At 42.5% G+C, this 18317-nt stretch overlaps 1 long non-coding RNA gene across 1 annotated transcript; it reads right to left on the bottom strand.

Annotated features, from left to right (window-relative positions):
* Nucleotides 1-7193: 7193 nt before the first annotated feature.
* LOC105371096 (uncharacterized) lies at nt 7194-16483 on the bottom strand. Its single transcript, XR_933126.3, has 4 exons — nt 16083-16483; nt 10125-10349; nt 8911-8972; nt 7194-7476 (listed from the first exon to the last, which is right to left on the bottom strand). It is a non-coding gene; the product is annotated as an uncharacterized LOC105371096 (long non-coding RNA).
* Nucleotides 16484-18317: the final 1834 nt, after the last annotated feature.

The raw sequence follows: 18317 nt of genomic DNA, 5'->3' as shown, positions 1-18317 counted from the left end.
AATATGATAGGTCCGGGTAGTAGGAGGTGTACACTCTGGTCCAATCAGATGTGGCCAGGTGAAGGTGTCAGGTGGGTGCCTCTGCTGTGTGTGGGCTAGAGAGCATCTCAGAGAAGTCATGCAGGTAGGGAAGCACCTCTCTGGTTCTTGGTGGAGCTCTCTGGAGTGGTATGGCTAAACACTGAAGAAGATGATGAGGATGTCGCTGCTGTGCTCAAAAGGGCCCAGCCTTCTTGTCATAATCGTATACTTGTTATCCTATTTAACACTCATGATCATCCAGTGAAGGGTTAACACTATTCTACAGAGGAGACAACTGAGATACAGAAAGGTGGACAAACATTGCTTCAAAAGTTATTTTTATGAAATGTTAATTGTCTCACATATCTGGATTCCAACCTGAGGGAAAATGTCACCCCAGATAATAGCCTGGAGTTCCATAGCCAAAGTAATTATCGTTTCTCTCTCCTTCTCACTTAACATACTCCAGCCACACAGGTATTCTTCTGGTTTCCTAAATACTCAGCCTTTGCATGTGCTGTTTTCTCTGCCAGAAATTCTCTTCCCTCCCACTCTTTACTAGGTTAACTTTTCCTTATCCTTCAGGTTTTAGTGTAGACATTACTTCCTCAGGGAGATTTTTCCTGACTCCCTGAGTAGAATCAGTTTCACCCTCTTTATTCTGGCTTATGGCACTCTGATCTCTTCTCTTAATGTTTTATCAGAATTTTAATCTTACAAGTTTTGCACAATTACCCTGCCTAGACTGTTAACTCCTTGAAGGAGAGGAATCACATCTGCCAGGCAACTAGTAGGTGACCAGTAAATAATGATTAGATTGGCCAGGTGCAGTGGCTCACACCTGTAATTTCAGGAGGCCGAGGTGCATGGATTGTTTGAGGTCAGGAGTTCGAGACCAGCCTGGGCAAATGGACAAACCCTGTCTCTACCAAAAATACAAAAAGTTAACCAAATGTGGTGTTGCATGCCTGTGGCCCCAGCTACTCAGGAGGCTGAGGCAGGAGGATTATTGGAGCCAGGGAGGTGGAGGCTGCAGTGAGCTGATATCACACTACTGCACTCCAGTTCCGGGCAACAGAACGAGACCCCATCTCAGAAAAAGAAAAATAGTGGTTAGATAAATAATGTTAATGTAATTATCCAGGGAGAGGATCTTTCGCCAATTTTGTTTGGATAGAGTAAAAGCTTAAACTACTGCTTAAAATGATTCATTCTTTCTGTGGAGGTAGGGGAATGCCTTAAATAGAGATAACTGATGTTTGGTAAGGTTGCTAAATGAAAGATGCCCAAAAAACCCTCACATTTAAGTTAGGAAGGTCATTTGGCTGCTTCCAGGTTTTTTCTTCTGTTCTTTTAGGATGATTCAGAGGGCCAAGCTGCAGCAAAATTTTGGGAAAGTGAAGGAAAACTAGTGCTTATTGAGAAGCTACTAATGATCAGGCAGCATATTAGGTGCTTTGTAAACACCATCTCATTTGATTCTCTTGACAGCCCTGAATCATGTGGGTGGTGCCCTTTGTGCATGGGCTCCTTCAGTTTCCATTCCAGCCTCTGTCAACTGTGTCATTCTATACTGCAGAGGCTGGGTTGCTAAAAGGTCAATATACTGGACTCCCTTGCAGCTAGGATTCTGACTATGACTCAGGTTCTGCAAATCAGATACTCTTTGCGTCTTGAATTTATAACTGAGTTAAGAGGGGAAAATGGCATAATGCCATTCACTTTGCTCCTGTGGATCTCTGCAGAGTCTGGGTAGTTCTGCAGCCATTAGCTTCCTGATGTGGTGACTTCTCGTAGTGCAGGTAGCAGTTTTCACCATCATAGCAGAGGCAGAGTGATTTGGGGGACCAGGGAATTGTTCTTGGAAGCTCCAACTCTTTGGGTCCTTCCAATGGTTTCCTAAGTCAGCTTACATCTGGTAATCACTTCCCTTCTGCGTAAGGTAGCTGGAGTGGTTTCCATTGTCTGCAACTGAACACTCATTTAAAAAGTAGGCTTTCAGGTATATTTTCCCCTCACTTTGAGAAACTGAGGTGAGAGGATCAGAGAGTTCAAATCAACTTGACACAGCCTTCACAGCAGGGAAGTGATGGAGAATTTGAAATCAGAATGGACTTTTTCCATTTGTCTATCTTCAGCACTGCCACCAACTTCTCTTTTCTGTGGCCCCTTTCTCTCTTTCTTTCCTCCAAGATCCTTCCTCCATGACATATGTTGTTTCAAACAGTTAGGATCTGACAGTCAAATTCAATCCAAGGGCTCAGGGGCTTGGTGTAACCCTACCTGGGCATATGTCTTTAAGAGGACTGTGGTGAAGGGAAGATGGTGAGCTGTAAGGCATGAGTTCCAGGTACCGTGACATCTGCTTGAAGAGGAGGTTAAGAGGTTCATGGAGAAAGCTGGGATGGGATAGAGTGGAAGGAAAGTCAGGAAAAATGACTTGGGTTCTCAATTTGTAATTGTCCTGGCCTGATTTCTTGTGCTAATCTTGCCAATTTGCTAAGAGAGGCTTGCTCCAGGTGGTAAGCCTCCTAAAGCTTTGGATCCAGGTTTTTAAGCTGGTTGGAGCTCACTCCTCTTCTGACCCATCCCCAACAGCTCTCCTGTCAGATTTTAGACATGCCAGCTAATTCCTTTCTATAGATTCGCCTGGCTTTATTAGGAGTAATGGTATCGAGGGTATTTTTCTTTATAGATGTTATAATTAGTAATTGTTTTGAAGGGCAATTGCTGTTAAACTACATATTTTTTCTTTTCCTGGAGGACAGGACAATTTCCAAGACTGATTATTTCACAATTGAAATTCCATGTCTCCCAGAGGTAAATTTTTATAGCAGTTGGTGGAAGTCAAATCCTCTCTTTTTATTTTTTTCCCCATTGCACATTCATATGCAGACACACAAAAAAACATTTCTGGGAAAGGAAGCGGAAAGATGAAGCCTCCACTGAGTGTTCAACAGCTTTTATAGACAGTTCCCTGGCTCTCTGGCTAATGTGATAGATGATAAATGCTCCCGAGATACCATTTCAGTCAATTAATTAGTTAATGTTTAAAGATGGAAAGTGTCATGTAGATAAAGAACATTATGACTCTCTTAATAAAAATGACTTAAACCAAGAAAAAATAGGGATGAGGAGATAGTATACGTTTTGCCTTTGAACTATAATTTCTCTCTTTGATTCTTGTAGCCACCCATGGGGTTGTAAGCACCTCCATATCGTTGGGTCACCTCCATAAAGCTTTTTCTTCTGGTTGGAAATTTTCAGCACAGTAAATGTGGTGAGCTAATAGATTATTTTCTTTTAAATAGAATGGGGGTAGTGTCTTAGTCCATTTGGACTGCTGTAACAAAATACCATAAACTTGGTAGCTTATAAACAACAGGAATTTATTTCTCACTGTTTTGAGGTCTGGGAAGTTCAAGATGAAGGTATCTACAGATTCAGTGTCTGCTGAGGACCTGCTTCCTGGTTCTTACATGGATGACTTTTCACTATAATCTGACCTGATAGGAGGGACAAAGATCTCTCTGGGATCTCTTATAAAGTCACTAATCCGATTCATGAGGGCTCCTGTCTTATGACCCAGTCATCTCCTAAAGGCCTCACCTCCTAATACCATCACCTTGGGGATTAGGATTTTAACAGATGAATTTTGGGGAGGGACACAAACTGAACTCAAACCATAGCAGGTAGGCATGTCCAGAGCTAGCTTGTTGTTTGGGGCTTTGAAACTGTGTTGAGCAATTCCCTACATCAGCCATGCTCAGAGATGACTGGAAGATGGGGAGTGGATATAGTAGATATAGACTTTTTTAGGGGGTTTCCCCAAGGATCAAGATCCAAAAAGTAAAACCCAGTTCTTTATGGTGAGGCTTTTGAGCTTTGAACTGAAGACAAGAATTACAGCAACGAATGAGATGCCCAACGGAAATGAATATGGGAGTACTCCCAAAGGTATCAGTAAAAGAAGAGGGTCCCAGAAAAATGGCCACCAGCACAGTTGCAGGGCCCAGTTCTCACAATGTTGTAACACTGGCTTCCATGCTGGCGGGAGGTCACGTTGGTGAGAAGGTTTGGGGTGAGGACAGACATCCCTCACCAAATATAGGGCTTATCAAATTCATGCATTCCAACCATCCTAATAGACAGATGCGTGCCTCACCCATTCTATTGCTGGGATCTTCTCTGCCCATTGAGAGGATCCAAAAGAAACAGCTGCATCAGAAATAGTGGCTTCCTAAAATTCAATTCTATTCTGATATTTGACAAACTGGCAATGTTTGATGCAGAAGATATATCCCTGCTCTGTCACACTCACAACTGTGAGCTGATAAAAGACTTTTTTCCTTGTCACAGCTGCCCAGACATTTTTCATGAACAGAAGTTAGAAAACAATTGATTAAGCTATAATCTCCTGTCTTCCCACACAGTGTCTAGGAATGATGGAGAATGCATGCACTGGAGTTAGACAGTTCCGTGGTTGTAAGATTTGCTCTAGCACCTTCTAGCTGTGCAAACTTGTGAGATTTCCTAATCTGCTTGGAACCTCAACTTCCTTATCTGCTAACGGGGATAATAACAATATTTATCTTGGCAGGATTCAGAGAGAAACTTATTTATTCATCCACTCCAGAAATGTTTTTAGATTCTATTATATGGCAGGCATGTGCTAGCATGTTGGTTTCACAATAGTGAGTAAGTCAGGAACACACTTTGCTTTCATGAAGCTTATATATTCATGGGGAGGCAGGCAATAACTAAGTTAATTTAAAATGGTGATGTGTTATGGAAAAAATACAATAAAGGAACAAGATAAAGAATGACTTAGCATGGGAGGTGGACAGCTTAGTTCGGGATTACCTTTTGGAGGTGGCCTTGAATTAAGAAATGAGGAATGACAAGGAGTGAGCCACGCACATATCTGGGCAAAAGCATTCTCAGCAGAGAGACCAGCAAGTGCAAAGGCCCTGGGGTAGGAAGAGCTTGGCATGCTCTAGAAAATAAAAAGGGCCAGTGTGGGTATAGCATATTAAGTGATGTGGGGGCATGGTCAGAGGTGTAGTCAAAAAGGCAGGCAGGGACCAGATCGTGCAGGGCCTCAGGCTATGATTAGGAGTAAAAAATGCATTCTCAATTCAGTGCCTGGCATAGTCAGTGCTCAATAATCGAATGTTTCCTTTCTTTGCAATTCCTTTCCCTTAAAACAGAGTTGAAACTTGGCTAAGTTATTGAGTGACCATTCTGGTGGCTCCTTCCTCCCCTGGAACTGAAAGGATCTGTTAGTTGCATAACAAGAAAGGTTTTTCTTTTTGCACAATGCCGTAGACCTTGAAAAGGTTCCAAGTAGGAGTTTCATGTCTCAGAGGGAGGAGGAAGATGATGAGATGCTTAGGAGACTATGAGAACCCATTGAGTAGATAGAATAGGAAACTTCAGTTTAATAAGCTTGAGCTTAGATGCCTGTGACAGTCTCTGTCATATAAATAAGAATATGCTGCAATTTATATGAACTGGACTTTAGGAATCTGGAACACTTGAAAAATGAGAACACACATTTTTTATACTTTGCTTCTGGGAGAAGGGCAAAGACGGGAATATAAGTGATAGCAAATAGTGTTTTAAATAAAAATTCCACATGCCAAAGATCTCTGCTGATTCAGTCTAATTTCTAACACTATCTTTAGTCCCAGAATACACAATTCTTAGGCCTGCAAGAATGCTCATCTTTCCAAGAGAGACTCAATTTCTTTGGGGGAATTTATTGACAGTGGGTAGCAATGTGGGCTAAGCTATTGATTCTTTTTTTCTGTTAATAAGGGAGGAAATAAATGGGATTTTCAGTTTCATCCCTCTGCTAACTGGGGGGAAAAAGCCCTCTGCCCATGTGCACTGAGTCCTGGTTAATCAAGTTTTTGCTGTGGTTGGCAGACAAAAGCTGAGCAGATTTTTTTCCAAGTGTGGTGCAAAGTAGGGCTGGATTTTGCTGTAATTTTGTCATTAGACCCAAAAGAAGAAATGACATTAATCAGAGATAATTTTCCTGGGCTTCCCAGAGGGGTATGAAAGGCAGAGTGAACTCCCCATTGCTCTGAAGTGGCAGAGAGTGACCATCCAACAGATGAATTGAACAGATGGGAGGAATTGTCAATGTACAATTGATAAGCACCCTGGTGATGGAAAGGAAGAAACTGCTTAGAAAATGATGTGGGGGATGCATGGAGTAGAGATTTTGCTGAATATTGAAGGCCTCCCTTACCCTTGATTTGGCATCTGCAGAATAATGGTATATAGGGAGGCACTTGGCCAAAATCTCATATGGAAAACAATTAACAAATCAATTACTTTAATATACATTTGTTAAGCATCTCCTATATGATACTATGCTTAGATGATGAATAAAGAAATATATCAGACCTTTTCTCTCTGAAAGCTCTGCCTTCAAGGTGATCAGTAGGGGAGAAAAAGATGGGGAGGCAGGGCATATTAATTATTAAATTCAGGATGATGAAGACCATGACAGAGGTGACAAAAACACCCTGGTCTGGGAGCTCAGGAATGGCTTTCAGGAGGAGATATCTAGGATGGAATATTTTCTAATTATAGAAATATTACACATTGTCTTATGTTGGGATCTGTTGCTACATACCAGGTGACCCCATGACTTAAGCAGCTTGACTGACCCACATTTATTATCTTATAGTTGTGGGCCAGGAATATGGATGTGAGTTAGCTAGGTCCTCTGCTTCATGGTTTTGCACAAGGCTATAATCAAATGTTGGTGCAAGGTTGTGGTCTCACGTGAAGGTCTGACTGGGGAAGTATCCATTTCCAAGCTCACTCAGTAGTTATTGGCAGCATTGAGCTCTTTGTTGGCTGTTGACTAGAGATGACCTTCATTTCTTTGCCATGTGGGTCTCTTCAATGTGGCAGCTTGCATTATCAAAGCACACAAGGAGAGAAGACAATCTAGAGAGTCTGGTGGCAAGATGGAAGTCAATCTCTTCTATCCCAATCATGGAAGTGACACTCATCACTTTTGGATTTAGAAACATGGCACACTCATGGTGAGGGGATTGTATAAGGGCATTAACAGAGAAGATGCTGGAGATCATTGGAGAACATGTCAAAAGCTGTCTATCAAAGGTCCTAGAAGCAGATCCTGAAATGAGGGCTCATTTAAAACCAGTTTAATAGGAAGTGTTTCCAGGAAAAACCCAAGCAGGTGTGTGATAGCAAACAAAGTCTAGCAGAAGATAACTGTGGCTCAATCTGCAGGGGAGATCTGGAGGCAGCATATTTTGAAGTAATTCCCGTTAAGAAGCAAGGGAGGTGAAGTATTTAAACTCCTCCACCTGTCAATCATTGGCTAAGGGCTGCTCTTGGGCAACATAAATTCCCAGGTGCTTCTAGCTCTCCGTGCATTCAGAGAAAGTGGATTCCAATATTCTGAGGCTGTTGGGAGTGAAAGCACATGGGAAACTGGTGTGCACAAAATCATCAAGGGAGCTGAGGGGATGTGGGAGGGCACTGACAGCATCTGCTGCTCAGGTTCATTGTAAAACATTGTGACAATATGGAAGAGTAAAAAGAAATTGGTAATTCTGCAGGAATGACTGCAACTAGAAGCTAGTCTTAAAGGTTGGGCTGGAATAAATCCAGGAAAGGAGACAGAGAGGAGTAACCTAGAGAGAGGAAACATCGGGGAGGGATATTTGAAGGGGTGCGAGCATAGCACCTTTTAGTAAATCTAAGTAATTAAAAAATAGAGTCTAAGTAAATCATAGAGATCTGAGCCACAGATGGGCATTTTTCACAAAGTGTTTAAGCATTTTTAAGGTAACATTGAAAAATGGCAGGTTCTACAAAAAAAAATCTTAATTTCCTGATTCTTTTGAAAACTCAGAAGAGCTTGCAATGCTGAGTCTGCATTTCTGCTGGGCAAAGGGGCTGGACCTGTGAAGTTGCTCAGTTGTTGAGTTGGGGCATGCCCTTGTGGTTTTGTCCTGGCCCAGCACACTCCACTGAGTCCCTATATGCCCTTGAGATTGAAACCTCTGGTCTGAGTGTGTCTGGCGTTGTGTAAGGTACAGCTGGCAAGAGCTATATTATTAAAAGCCTCAAACATCAAGCTGAGGACTAGGAATGTGTTGTAGGGAAATGGGGAGCCATTGAAGGTTTTAAGTATCTGTATGACATCCGGAGATTTGCTCTCTAGGAAACCCATGTCATTTGGCCCCATTGATGCCCCAAATCAGATCTGGGGATGGGCGATTGTTTAAATCAAACTTTAAAAATGATTCTCAGCCAGACACAGTGGCTCACACCTGTAATCCCAGCACTTCGGGAATCTGGGGCAGGAGAATGGCCTGAGCCCAGGAGTTTGAGGCCAGTGTGGGCAACATGATGAGACCCCTATCTCTAAAAAAAACAAAAAAAATCCTCGGATGTTTAGAATTAGGTTAGTTATAATCCTTGCTCATGACATACTGTCATTATTTCTCTGAGAATGGATCTTTTAGTTTAATTGATTAAAAATTTAATAATCTAATAAATACCCCTGATCTCATCATTCAACCAAGAGCAATCACATTGACAATAACACACATCTATTCCTATTTCACTGTGTAGTGGGTTTCTGCTGTCTTTGCTTACTCATCAACCATTCTCCATTGTAGTAACCTAGTGAAAATTAGATGAGCTTAGACATCATCTAGGACAGCCATTTTTAAAAGAATCTCCCTTTTAAAGAATTTCTCTAACCAGCGATGGGAAATTCACAGCTCCAGCGAGCAGCCAGTTTTATGATAGCTGTTAGAAAGCTGGGCCTGCCTGTAATGCCTGCCCACTGTTTCCAGCTGGGCTGTCTTTTAATTTCCTTCCACTTACCTGGAACCTGGTAAACATAATCTTCATTCAACCTGTATCAAGCACCTGCCTTGTATAAGGCGCTGCAGGGAATACAAAGGTGGTTAAGACAAGGTTTTTTTCTGCCCCTGTGGAGTTCATAGTTTAGCAGAGGAGATAAGACAAATACACAAATAATTATAATACAATGTCAAGAGTGCTGTGTACTATAAGAGAGAAACAAGCAAAGTGTTATTGAAATTCAGAGAGAGAGAGAAAGAGACAGAGATTAATTCCAGGTAGAGGAAGTTGGAAAAGCTGCATGCAAGAAGTAGCACTGGGGCTGTGCCTTGATGGGAGGTGAAGGTGATGGTTTTACAGACTGGGGAGAGGGAACCAGAGAGTGCTATCCATACAGAGGAAAAAACATGGACAAAGATGTGGAGGTGGGAGAGTGCAGGGCTGATGACCCCCAGGGACTGTGGACATAGATCCTCATTGGCCAGGAGTCTCACTGTAGAAGTCAAAGTCTAGAGCAGATGCAAGGGTACTGGGGCCACAGCCTCTCACAGTATGAATTGTTCACCTGCCAGTATTCAACATTACTAATTCTTCCTCATCCTCCTCCTCCAGGAAGCCTTTGATACTTCCCCAGGTTGGCTTAGGCGCCTCCCTGTATACTCCTTAATTTCCCTGGGCTTATGTTTGTCATAGGCTTTAGCTCTGTCCTGTCCTGGTCATGGCTCTAATGTGATTGTGTCTTGGCCTCCTCCCTAAGACCATGAGCAATTGAGGGCTGGGATAATGACTTCTACACCACCGCCTCCCCAGTGCTTAGCACGGTGCCCGGCGTAAGGTAGGTCTTCATTATACAGTTACTAAGTGAATGAATGCTATTTTGGTCCTATTGCTGCCTACCTCTGTCCCTCATTATCCTGCCCATTAGACTTGGAATATGTATTTAGCTCTCTCTACTTTTTTCTCAGCTATCATTCAAGGTCTTGACTTTGCCTTTTTATAGTATATATTTTCATTTTATGCATTACCTATGGAATCAGATTCAAACTCTCATTCTGGTCCAACCTGCAAAGTCACAATCTGGATAAAGCCCATTTCTTCAGCCGACCTGGTCTGCTTTGAGCCCCAATATACCCCTCCTTAGGCATTTTTCAATTCAACGATTATTTATGGAGTGCCTACCCCATGCTGGGAACACACAATGAGGGCAGTGTTAGGATGTCCCTGGGTTAACTCACATTTGGCTGTATCTCTGAATCTCACTAGAAAAACTCAGAGGCTGGAGAAAATGGCAAGTTCCCACGGAGGAGAGAGGTCTGATATATCAGCCAGATTAATTCTTCCAGTGCCACTATTAGATGAGTGCTTGGGTCCATCAAGCAAGTCCTGATGGCAGCTACCTCTTCCGATACTCATCTGGGAATCTATCTGGGCTCTTTCAGGGGGAACAGGAGATTGTAATTCTGAAGTGGAACAGAAAGAAATGTAATTGGATCAATGGGCTATTAATGATGCTATTGAAGAGTGCTCTGCCAGAGCTGTGTTGTGAATGGGGCTGGCCACAGAGAACCCGGCCACGGCCACGTGCGAGCTCGACTTTGACACAAAGCCTTCTGCACACTGTGAAGGTTTTTTTTTTTTTGTATGTGTGATCTCATATAATTCTTTATAATTTTCCCTGGCCAGAAAGACTGTTTTAGTGGGGTCAGGTAAGGCCTGCTAGGCATTTGGCTATGTGTCTGCGGATGGGAAGAAAGATTCACATGGATATTTGTGCTGTATAGGGTGGTTGCAGGCATCAGATGACCTCCTGTTTGTGGCTGAGTTATTTCTGACGGGCAGAAATGGGAAGCAAAGTGAGTGCTCATCCATGGGGGAGTGGCTGACTAAGCAATGGGGCTTCCACCTATGGACTGGTACGTGCCCAATAAGGACAGTGAAGGTGAGTGATATCAGGGGTATTGGGGGCTTTCTTTTCTTCTTCTTTTTTTTTAGTTTAATGGGGTACACCTGCAGGTTTTTTACATGGGTATCTTGCATGATGCCGAGGTTTGGGCTTCTGATGATCTCGTTGCCCAAGTAGCAAACTTGGTACTCAATAGGTAATATTTCAGCCCTTGCCCCCTCCTTCACTTCCCCCTTTTGGAATCCTCAGTGTCTCTTGTTCCCGTCTTTCTGTCTTTGTGTACCCAGTGTTTAGTTCCCGCATGTAAGTGAGAATGTGCAGTATTTGGTTTTCTGTTTCTGCGTTAATTTGCTTAGGATAACAGCCTCCAGCTGCATCCATGGTGCTATAGAGAACATCATTTTATTCTTTTTTTGTGGCTGTCTAGTATTCTGTGGTATATATGTACCATATTTTCTTTATCCAGTCCACCACTGATGGACAGCTGGGTTGATTCCATGTCTTGGCTATTGTGACTAGCACTGCTATAAAGATATGAGCACAAGTGTCTTTTCGGTAGAATGACTTATTTCCTTTGGGTACATATCAACGATGGGATTGCTGGGTCCAGTGAAAGTTCCATTTTTAGTTCTTTGAGAAATCAACTTGGAGGGCTTACAACAAGGAATTGTTGAATACATGGGAACGGTTGGTAGAATATGATCCCATTTCTATAAAACAATGATTGCCCACACTCGTGTGTCTGTATGGCTGTCTAGAATTAAATGAGGATGGACACTATATAGAAGACCACTGACTGGACTGTCAGTACAGGTTTTCTGGTGGGGCAGGTGTTGGAGCAGGTGGGGAGATGGCAATGGGGGTGAGAATAGAGGGGCAGGGCAAATGAGCCAAAATTGGTAGCAAAAAAAGTTTGCCGTCTCTCTCTCCCTGTCTCCTCCTCTCTCTCTGTTTCTGCCTCTCTCTCTCTCTCTCTGCTTGTCTCTGTCTCTTTTTCTCATACACACACACACACACACACACACACACACACACACAAAGGAATGCTCACTTTTTATGCATTTATGTAAAATTTATATATACATGGATATATATGTAAGGCTAAATAATTGGAAAAAGGTACAAACAAGAATCAAGGGACATATTAACATTTCATTTATAATTGACACATATAATTATACATGTTTATAAGTATAGTGTAATATTTTGATACATATATACATTGTATAATGATCAAACAGGGTAGCCAGTGTGTGTCCATCACTTCAAACCTTTACCGTTTCTTTGTGGTGATCATTTTCAAGCTCCTCTTCTCTGACTATCTTGAAATATGCAATGTATGGTCATTAGCTCCAGTCGCCCTACTGTGTAATAGAACACAGGAACTTATTCTTCCTGATTAACTTTGTACCCCTTGGCCGACCTATCCCCATTGCTCCTTCTATGTCCCTTCTCCTGCCTCTAGTAAGCATCAAGTGACATTATTTATTTTTATGCACAAAACATGTATCGGTGGCACACTCTGTGCCAGGCATTTTGCTTGGTATGAGCAATACAGTGATAAGACCCAGGATCTATCCTTTAGAAAGTATTTTGTAATCTCTCTCTCTATGTATAAAACAACTAGCAGGGTGCAGTGGCTCATGCCTGTAATCCCAGCACTTTGGGAGGCCGAGGCAGGTGGATCCCTTGAGGCCAGGAGTTCGAGACCAGCCTGGCCAACATGGCTAAACCCCGTCTCTACTAAAAATGCAAAAAAATTAGCCAGGTATGGTGGCACATGCCTATAATCCTAGCTACTGGGGAGGCTGAGGCAAGAGCATCACTTGAATCTGGGAGGCAGAGGCTGCAATGAGCTGAGATCGTGCCACTGCATTCTACCCTGGGTGACAGAGTGAGACCCTGTTTCCAAAAATAAAAATAAAAAAAATAAAATACAAATTAGAGTGGTTTCCAATTCTGGCTACACGTTGGAGTCACCACTGAGGGCTGCAGCTTTAAAAAAATACTAAAGGCCAGGGTCCCACCCTAGACTAATTAAATCAGAATCTAGATTGTAGGGACCTGAAGTTTCAAAAATCTACCCTAATGTAAAGATTGACAATGGTTGAGGGTGATTGTCTTAGAACCTGAATTCTAATACTGTAAGATGTATTATCTTAGACTCAAATATCTGTTAGTAACTTTAGGCTAGGCTTTTGCACAGATTGCTTTTATTTAATAAAATGCAAATGCAATTTCAGCCGTGTGGAAGCAGTACCTAAATGGCTGTGTGGACCCATCATTCCCAGGGTGCTGAGCTAAAGGGGCAACCAGGGAGGATGCTAAAGGTTGATGGCTAAGGGTGGTTTGATCTCATGACCCCTCCCTGTGGTTTCTCAAGGCCGCTCCCTGCCATCTGCTGAAGGTTGGTTGTTTGGCTTGGTGACGTTCAGAAAAAAGCAGTACCCCCTTGGACCGCTCTCTTATGTGGCTGAAGCAGTGTGGTTCTGAAATTAACTGGAGGATTTACCTCCTCTGAGATGTTGGCACTTCCTAATGAATTGTTTTCCCACTTAAAAATACACACTCATGTCATTTAAGGAAACTCAACAGGTGAAGCCCAGTAATTAAGGATCTCTGCAGGAAGAGGAAACTGAAAGCAGCAGCTGGATCTCTTCTTAACAGCACCATTAATCAGCACCACCTGCACAGGGAAAGCCAGGCATCAATTGCTATGCAAGCCCAGAGGGCCAGGCTAGTGTCCCAGTCAGGATGGTCACTGTCCAGCATGCATTTCAGGGTTGTGGAAGAGAAGGTACAGGGCCCCAGCTGTGGTGAGGCAAGCGGGGTGCTTAGGATGCAAATTAAAGCTGCATTCACCCTGCACTTGCCTGAACTTGGATTCTAGGTACCCTGCTCTTAAGGAAGTACCCATTCTTAGGGTCATGCTTGTGCAGTCAGCCCCTGAGAGTGAGTGCCACCTTAAGTGTTGCACTTTCTTGCCTGATCATAGTTCAAGCACTGGAAAGGCGTGTTGGTTTGGGGACTGTTTGAATCTTCACTTTTCCACTTTCTAGCTCAGTGATTTAAAGCTAGTGATAATGTTTCTCTCTGAGCCTCAGTTTCTTCATTTGGAAGATGAAGAAATGAATGTAGCATATCATATGCCAAGGTGCAGGTTTAATAGTTGACATTACTATTATTTAATAGAAAACTTCTATTTCAAAAGTTGGCTGCTGTTTGAATTAGTTGACCTAGGAGTATCATGAGGAATCCTTCTGAGACAACTGCATATTTTCTTTTCCCAGAAAAAATACTTTAATTGGTGTGGTTTTCTTATTTGCAGGGAGGTTTCCTCTGGAGTACGGTAGAGATGAGAAAAGCTTAGATTAAGAAGAGTTGCATTGGTATGCATGACAAAAAAATAGTAATTTGAGGTCTTTTCCCAGCTCAGGGAAAGAGGGTCTTGGGTGTACTGACCATTGCGAAAAATTAGAAGGAAATAGAGAAGAGACTTGGTGGAGGACCCCCCCACCCCCCACCAAAATGACAGCAGTTGGGCTTTAAGGAAAGGTTGGGGAATGTAGGATTCAAGAGACTTAGTAGAGGATCCCCCCAAAATGACAGCAGTTGGACTCTGAGGAAAGGCTAGGGAATGTGGAATTCAAGAGACTTGGTAGAGGACCCCCCAAAAATGACAGCAGCTGGGCTCTGAGGAAAGGCTAGGGAAGTGAAATTTCCTACGGCAGGGGTGAGTGAAGAACTTCAAGACAGAGATAAGTAACTTTGTGGAAGTCATGGCTTATTGCATGCTGTAATCCCCCTCCATATCCTGAGAGCTTCAGTAAAGTCAGCGGCATGAGACAGCTCTGTCTTAGAGATCATTGGGAGAAATGAAGGAAGAGACAGGTTCCATTGTGAGTTACAGCAGGATGGAGAGAGGCCATCAACAGAGCTCACTACAGAGAGGTAAGAAATCTTCAGGAGTGGGAATTCAGGCTGAGGTGTGAGTTTGAGCAGGAAACCCTTGAAAACTGGGCCAAACCAAGTTGGAATGAGCAATTTCATACGTGTATCCCAAGCACTTAGGATAATGTCTGGTGCCTAGTAGGTGCTTTGTAATTATCGGTGGAATTATTGATGTTAACAGAGGGCCAAGAGGGATTAGTGAGCAGGAATTTCAGGCAGGCAATTTTCAGCCTAACGTAATGTAAGTTGCTTGGAGAAGTAATGACTTCCCTGTCACTAAATAGGTGAGGTGCATGAAAGGCTGGACTAGCTGAGTTCAAGCTTGTCTGGACTAGATAGCTTCTAAACTCATCTGTCAGTTGGATGTACACTGGTTCAGTCCATGTTTTTAAGACTGGATGGGCCTGAGTTAAAAGACTGACTCCTGCAACTAGCTGTGTGACATTGAGTAAGTCACCCAATTCCTCTGAGCCTCAGACTCCCATTTGTAAAATCAGGAAGGTGGGAGTGCCTACCCCGTGGAGATGCCTGATCCCTGGAGGGTTAAAAGAGAAGATGTCGGTAATGTATGTAAATGGCTTAGAGCATTTCCTCCCTGCCAGTAAGTGTATCCTTAAGAATACATAACACCTCAGAGATTGTACAGCTCTGTTACTCTCATTTCTAAGGCTGGGGCTGGTGAAGTATCTTCCCACAAGTCTGAGAATGCACAAATGAAACCTAAGTTTTCTGACTCCCATCCTACTCCTCATCCACTTCACTGGCGTGACTCCACCACACAAAGAGGAATGGATTGGCCTGCTAGGGCTGGGTGAGGGGCAGGCATTTCTCAGAAGACCCAACCTCCTGAAGGCCTGATGACAATAGAGGTGCTATCCAGTGAAGTCATAAACAACCAATAATCTAGATTTTCTGAGTTATTGGAAGGGCACCAGAGGAGAAACAGTGGTCACGAGGAGTTGCATTTGTCCTCACTGGAAGGAGAATCTTTAGTTAAGGGACATTAGTTTGTTTCTTAAACAAGGATGGATACACAAGGGCAGACCATCACCTTATGCTATGGTGGAGGAATACTTTTGTCTGGAGATATTTCATCAAGCAGTGGCTGTAAAGGTTGCTTATTGTGAGCCACTAGGCTGTGTGTGCATAGAGTAGGAGCTCCATAAGTACTTGTTTAATGAATGGATAGTTTCCACTACTAATTGCTTCACCTGTCTACTTGACAACCATAGGCATAGGAAGAGACTTGTAGCTACCATCTGTATTAGTTATTTATTCCCGCATAACAAATTATCCAAAACTTAATGGCTTAACACAACCACCTTGTTGGTTTACTTACAATTCTGTGAGTCAACAATTTGGGCTGAGCTCAGGTGAGTGGTTCTTCTGTTGGTCTTTCCTGGGGCTATTCCTATTCTGCACACATCTGGGGACTCCATTAGAGACAGATTGTCTATGATGACTTCACTCCCAATTCTGGCATTTGGGGCTGTCTATTGGCCAGACCTTGCTTCACATAGTTTCTCACCCTCAAGGAGTCTAGCCCAGACTCCCCATATGTCAGTCTCAGGGTAGCATTTCAAGAGGGATAAGGTAGACGTTTCTGGCCTGTTGTGGTGTAGGCTGTGAATTACCATAACATCACTTCTTTGAGATTTTCTTGGTCAAGGCAAATCACATGACAAGGACTCAAGAGGGTAGAGAAATAGGTTCTACTATTTAGTGGAAAGGACAGCAAAGTGACATCACAAAGAGGAATGCATATAGAGATGGGGGGAATATGTGACCAACTTTAGTAATCACTGTAATTCTGAATTGACTCACAAACACTATCAAGACGGATCATTGTCATACCCTAGTTCAAAAAGCAGTCCTTGCAGCAATACAGAACAGATAGAAGTGAAGAGAATGTGATTTTGCTAAAAATGACATATTTACATGACCAGTGATGGGTGAGACCTATGAAAAATCCCCAGAGATTCTCAAGAACTCATAAAGTGCATTTCCATATTTATGTAGAATATCAATCTCCTGCTGTCTTTGACTTCACCTAGTATATTCCTAGGTATGTGTATCTAAGCCCAAGTTGGTCTCACGTTTTTGCCTACTTCCGAGTCAATATGTGACATGCCATCCCACCTTTTTGTGTTACCACATTATTATAACATAAGGGGTGGTTATGTTTCCTGGTTATCTTGAGCTCGAGCAGGTCCTTCTTGGTGATAGCCCATTGGTTTCTTCCAAGTGTGCCCATGTCATGCTATTTTTCTCCAATCTAAATCTTGCCAGGAACTAAGCATTATGTCATCATCTCCTTTACATACCTGTTGGTGTTAAATCAACTTTTATAATTTTCCCTTGTCCTAGTATTTTTGGGATATGCCTGTTTTTTTCTCAGGTAGTTAAGTCTGTCTATTTAAAAAGTAATATTGAACCTGAACACTCTCATCTGTTTTAGGTCTCCATTCAAAAGTCACTTTTCTGGTGAGTCCTTTCCTGACCCTATTCTTTAAGAACTGGAACTCTTTCCAGCCGGTCCCAAGCCCCTTTACTTGATGTTTCTCTCCCCATAGCACTTAACACCATCTATAATTCTATATATTATTTTTAATTTTTATAGTCTCTCTCTAAGCTCCGGGAAGGTAGTGGATGTTTGTTTGTTTTGGTTACTGTTATAACAAACAGTTATAAGCTGGAGCAGTGCCTGACCTAAAGTAGATAATAAATACTTGTTGCAAAAATAAATAATTACCTCTCTCTCTTTAACGATGTCTCTATTTGTCTGTATCTAGTTCTGTCTATATCTATCTCCATCTATACATCCATCCATTTTTCCATCCATCCATCCATCCACCCACCCATCCATCCATCCATTCATCTGTCCGTCCATCTGTCCATCCATCCATCCATCCATCCATCCATCCATCCATCCATCCATCCATCCATCCATCTGTCCATTTGTTCATCTGTCCATCCATTCATCCATCAACCTACCCACCCACTCACTCATCCATCCATCATGCTAGTGAGCCTGCCTAGTTAACACTGTCGCATGTTTTAAAAAATAGAATAACTGAAAACTAGGAGCAGATCAATTAATATCAGAGAGTTTCTATGGATCCTCAGGCTCCTTTCTCTGACTGAGCATCTGTCTTTGAGGCAAGGGAAGTCTGTGGTGAAAATGAAGGCAATTCTTCAGTGAAAGAGAGACCAGGTCTTGCTACATCTGAGGGACATCATTAGGGAGCAAAAGCTCTTTCATGCCTGAAACTTTAAAAATTGAAACTGCATATATTAAATAATTTCTCTTTTTAATCTCAGAAACTTTGGTGGCAGTGGGCTGGGAGAGTCATTGCAGTAGGGTGAGAATCTTCCGTCTTTATTTTATTCTTGAGATTTGTGAGTTGTTCTCTGCCCCTGTGTACTTTGGGGGTCTTCTCTGTTTTTAAGCATTTGCTGAGAAAAAATTTTTTTTTTCTGGTGACTTTTGGTTATTAGACAGTCAGGCCAAAAGTGAGAGAAAAAATACATTCAGGTCAGTTTTCTGGGACTAGTTTTGTTTTAATAACAATGA

This window comes from Homo sapiens, chromosome 16, assembly GCF_000001405.40.
Source record: "Homo sapiens chromosome 16, GRCh38.p14 Primary Assembly".
Taxonomy (NCBI): domain Eukaryota; kingdom Metazoa; phylum Chordata; class Mammalia; order Primates; family Hominidae; genus Homo; species Homo sapiens.
The sequence above is the reverse complement of the archived record's forward strand: the minus strand, read 5'-3'. Positions and strand labels throughout refer to the sequence as shown.